General features: G+C 48.4%; 1 annotated feature.

Annotated features, from left to right (window-relative positions):
- Positions 1,099-2,298: an enhancer, noted in NCBI's record as "MED14-independent group 3 enhancer chr2:582585-583784 (GRCh37/hg19 assembly coordinates)". NCBI's record gives its function as "activates an origin of replication core promoter dependent on BRD2, BRD4, P300/CBP and CDK7 cofactors, and independent of MED14, by STARR-seq in HCT116 cells {active_cell/tissue: HCT116}" and the evidence as "EXISTENCE:reporter gene assay evidence [ECO:0000049][PMID:35650434]".

The following is a 5,443-nucleotide window of genomic DNA, read 5'->3' on the forward strand; positions in this document are numbered from 1 at the left end:
AATGCTTATTTCTGGAGAGCTCTGTAATTTGTCAGGCAAGTTTCCTGGGCCTAGACACACAGTCAAAGGCAGTCAGTGAGGAAAGGGCAGCTAAGCCAGCCCTGAGGGTGGGTAAGGGCCAGGATCTCAGCTGGTGCACACAGCCGGGAGTGTGGTGCTGATGAAACATTGTTGGGAAGTTTAAGGATTGTGAGCCGACGGTTGTGCAGAGGCATCCGGCCTCCATCGTAAGATGCCAGACTCGGGCCATTGATTTGGCAAGAAATTCCCAAGATCTGACCAGAGTGCCTGTGTCTGTGTGGAGAGACCTCTGTGTCCATCTGCAGCCCTCTGTGGAGGGTGTAGTCCGGGCCAGCATGACTCCTGTGAGCCTCGGCCTCCACACTGACAAACAGGAGTGTGGTCTGAGACAAGGTTCCAGATCCCTTCCCTGTCCAGAGCTCCTAAAGCTTCCCCTTCTATTCAGATGTTTCTCTAATTAGAATAAAACTCTATTTTAATTGCATTATATAAGCAGAAAAACCTTGAGAACAGTTAGAAAACATTGATGAAAATGACATAAAGGTGCCCTGGGGCTGTGACGAGAAATTGGCTCATTGTATCTGGAAATGAAAGAAGAACAGGGACATTTAGAAAGGAAAAGTTCTGTCCTTAATTGAAATAAATTCTGTACTGCAAGTAGTATTAGAAGGTAATCATTTACATAAATAATAGTTAATGCTAGCAAACAGTGAAATGTAATTAGGGCAGAGAGACGCTGAGGCTCATTAGAAAGAACAACAACGCTGAGCTGTGAGCCGGAGGAGGCAGCCGGGTTCTGATGGAAGCTGCCTCGACCACCAGAACAACACCGCAAGCGTCCAGCAGCAGTAAGGGGCACAAGCTGCCTCGACCACCAGGCCAATGCCACCAGCGTCCAGCAGCAGCGAGGGGCACAAGCTGCCTCGACCACCAGAACAATGCCGCCAGCGTCCAGCAGCAGTGAGGGGCACAAGCTGCCTCGACCACCAGAACAACGCCGCCAGCGTCCAGCAGCAGTGAGGGGCACAAGCTGCCTCGACCACCAGAACAATGCCGCCAGCGTCCAGCAGCAACGAGGGGCACAAGCTGCCTCGACCACCAGAACAACACCGCAAGCGTCCAGCAGCAGCGAGGGGCACGGAGAGCAGGCAGTGCAGAAGTCAAACCCCTAACAGCCACAGGAAACTCAGGGCAAACGGAAGCGTTTCCATTCTCCAGCCCTTCTTTCAATATTCTTAACATGAGCAATCCATGAGCCCTCATTTTGCAGCCCACAGAACCTCAGCCAGCGTGTGAGGAAGAAGCTCCAGGCGGCGGCAGCCAGCGTGTGAGGAAGAAGCTCCACGCGGCGGCCAGTGTGTGAGGAAGAAGCTCCACGCGGCGGCGGCCAGTGTGTAAGAAAGAAGCTCCACGCAGCGGCCAGCGTGTGAGGAAGAAGCTCCACGCAGCGGCCAGCGTGTGAGGAAGAAGCTCCAGGCGGCGGCGGCCAGCGTGTGAGGAAGAAGCTCCACGCGGCGGCCAGTGTGTGAGAAAAGCTCCACGCAGCGGCCAGCGTGTGAGGAAGAAGCTCCAGGCGGCGGCCGCCAGCGTGTGAGGAAGAAGCTCCACGCGGCGCTTGCTCAGGGAATCCTGCTCCAGGGCGTGCTCACTTGCTGTTATTGTGTTTTATTTTTCCTGAGACTGTAAATGGAGCGGATAGAAGTTCAGAACCATCGGTCCCTCTTCTTCCTGGGTCATCCTGAGCTCGGCAGTGAGAGCACCTACGACTAGGGAGCGGCCGAGCAGAGGGAACAAGGCCGTGCCCGCTAAGGTTCTCCCGGGACGGTGGCGAGCCCACGCTTGCCAGGCATGACGCCTCGACCTCCAGCGTCCAGAGCGTCCCTTCATTGGTTCACAGGAACTTTTCACATGTGTCCGTCCACTTTTCTTAGGAATATTTATTTAGGTGAGGTTATTCATTCTGACACTGGAAGAAAAGTGCAAAACCTCGTGTGGACTTCGTAGGTGGAGCATTTGAGTTATCATCGGAAAACTAGAGCCCGGACTGTATGAGGAAGGTAATTCATGTTTACAACTGATTATTGCTTTGGGTGATTTTCTCTAATGCAATAATAAAAATAGTAGAAAGAAACTTTTCAACTGTGAAACCCAAACTTAATATTACTATATCATTATTATCAGTCTTTAAACACCTATTTCAGACAAGTTTTTTAAAATATAAAGACAAGACCTAATAAGAGGTGTGAGTTTTACAAATATACCAGAAAAGTGTGTGCCTGAATAAGTGTTGACCCCTCAGAGTGACCCCTGCTGGTCGCAGGGAACCTGTTCCCATCACGTCCCCACTCACCCACAAGGCAGCGGCGCCTCCTCGGTGGTCCTGGCGCCCATGACGCGTTGCTGGGAAAATCTCCCACCCGGACGTTAACTGTGGGCTTCACTTACTTTCAGTTCCTGGGGGAAGGCTCGACAGAGCAAGCTTTAGTCCCCCTCAAAAAAGAAATGGTGTAAAATCAGTGAAAGCCGTCTGCTTTTGTGTTTGGCGAGCAGGAAGTCACAGAGGGAGGCCCCGTCTGTGTTAGGTCAGGCTTCATTTCTTCATTTGTTAACAAATCCTTCTTAGTGGCCCCTACAGCCGGTCTTGAAACTGGCCACTGAGATAAGAGGTCGTCTTCCCATCGAGTACTCTGAAAAATGCCCCCTTGGCCTTTAAGATGAGGCATTGAGTATTTGCTCAAAAGATGGTGTTTTCTTCATCATGTCACTTCAGACATACACCTATATATAAATGCATGTGTATATATGTATATATAAAATAGTATTCTCCTAAATTCCAAATCACATTACTTCTGATTAAAGATTATTGGAAGCCACATGCAATTCTAAAGATAAAAATAAGCAGGAGAGAAATTACTACTGACCATAGTGCCTAGTCTAATGAGTAGAGGTAGGTTGTTTATTCAGAGTTATTTAAACAAAACGGAAGCACCATACAGCAGCTTTTCCATGTCTTTCGGGCTTTATCGTGTAAAATGCCCTGGGCTCTGATTTTTAACGTGGTCTGCATCAACTTGTAAGTGTTTTGGTCTACATATGGGTGTGTGGAACAGAAATTCACGTTCTTGAATATTGTTTTAAAAGTAGACATATTACTATTAAGGTTATTCCAATAAAATTCTAGTGTAGTTTGACAGGAAGCCCCGTGTTTGAATGAACGTGGTGGCCATGTGGCTGGGCGGCGTCCTGGCAAAAGCTCCCTGAAGATGCTGACATCTGTTCAGGCCTGGACCCTGGCTGTGGTTCAGAAGTGTATCATTATCAATGCCTCTCTAAGGCAGGGAAAGTAACATCAGCAGGTGACAAGAACCACTGTGCCTATTTCAACAACTTCTGCCACCTGAAGTGAGAGTGGGCTGCTCCACCAGGGCAAGGCAGGCCAGCACCAGGCCCTGTGGGGGCTGATACCTGCCCATCCTCTGCCAGGGTCTTGGCCATGTGGTCACGGCACACCTGGAATCTGGCCAGTGTGATTGGGACCAGGGTGTTCAACTTACTTAATTAATTTAAATGCAATCAGCCTCGTGTTCGCATGCCAGCAAAGCAGCACATCCTCGGGTTTAGCGAAAGGCTGATGCCAGCATGTGTAGATAGAATGAGAAACCCTAACCTGAGAGGATTCGATTGCACTGGAGAAGCCGCAGACATCCGGGGAAGCTGGTAGAGACAAGACAAGCCAGCAAGAGTAGGAAGATGCACGCAGGCTGAGAGACCCAGGAGGAAGCAGAAAAAAACGCAACAAAGGAAAAGGTTCACTTTCCTGAGCCCGCAAAATCAGATGGCCCAGGACACAGAAGCTCCGCCCTCCACTGCCCTGGGTCGAGATCTTCCTCTGTGTACAGTGAATTCACCATTTTACCACATGAGAAAACCCACATGCAAATGAAGCAGACAGCGCCCACAGCCAGGCGGCTCCAGCTCCAGGGAGGCCGGTGCAGGGGCCTGAGGCAGTTGCTGCTCCAAAGCGTAAAACTAGGAGGAGGAGAGATGTGCATTATCTACACCACTGCTGAGCTGCACTTCCACTTGGGAACGTTCAGATGCCACAGACCTGCTACATTTCTGGAGATGCTGGCGTGACGAGTCATTAGCTCAGCAATGGGAGCTCCACTGGGCTCATTCTCCTGCCCTGGGGAAGCAGGTGCCCGAATCAGGAACTTAGGTCCCCACTTACTTACAAAAATGTACAATGAAGAAGAAGTAATCTGAGCCTTCATAGGGAGTCTGTGAACAATGAAGAATTGAAGACATTATTATATCCAGTTATTTTAAGTGTCACTGGGTACAGAACACTCTGACAGGTGCTTCTTGTTGTTTTAATTCTAAGTATTTCATGGTCTTCAGAGACACAAAGTCACAGTGCTAGTAACAGTACTAGTAAAACCAGGTTAGTTAAGCCCTAAAAATAAATAAGAAGCCATTGTGTGCACACACATGCAGGCACACGAACGTTGACTTAAAATGCTTCGAAATGTACTATTGCATCTTATCTTTACACAAGGTTATAATACAGAATAAAGTTTTAAAAATATGTCCACTTTACACATGTGAGAGCTGCAGCTCAAATAATTTAAGAGACATGTTCTAACTCCCAGGACTGGGTAAAGATGGTCGAATCTGGAGCCGGCCTTGGTTCCCCACAGCCCGTGACAAGGAGTGTGGAGCTTCACCCGGGAGGCTCTTTCAGCCCAAGGATCAGCTGTGGGGCAGCGCAGCAGGCACGGCCATGCTGCATCCTCCTTTTCAGCAGAAATCCAATGTTCGTCTCACGTTTCTGTTTTGTTTTGTTTCTTACCACCAGGGCTCTGGGAGTTAATTACAAAATTTAATTTTAAAGGAGACAGTCCTTGTCACTAGGGTTCCTAGGAGACTGATTATACAAAAAGAAAAATAAATACTGGTGGATGAGAAACTTCTGCAAAATTGTTACTTAATATATAATTATAACTTAAGAAGAATGTATATTACAATAATAATTTAATTTGTTACTGTCATTTTCTTGCCAAATTTGAAGCTAATTTTTTAAAGCTCCCGACAAGTGGTTTACTGTGGAGCAAACACTGGCATACTTTAGGCTTACAATCTGCTGACAACCCCGTCTTAGCCCTTCACTTGGAAAATGTGAGCGTGCACTGTTCATGTGCCTGTCAAGCACGTACACCACTCAGAAGGACAACAGCCACTCAGGTTATCAGGTGAATGTGTGACGAGCCATTAAGAGGCTGCACGTGGGCTCGGGAAAATGAAATTCCCACCATAAACCTGTCCCCCATTTCCATCCCATGCCCTGCCCCTGCCCCTGCCCCAAAGCAATGTCTCCACCTCTTAGGAATGTTTGATTTTCATTATTGCTAAACAGGGGCCA

Source organism: Homo sapiens, chromosome 2, assembly GCF_000001405.40.
Source record: "Homo sapiens chromosome 2, GRCh38.p14 Primary Assembly".
NCBI lineage: Eukaryota > Metazoa > Chordata > Mammalia > Primates > Hominidae > Homo > Homo sapiens.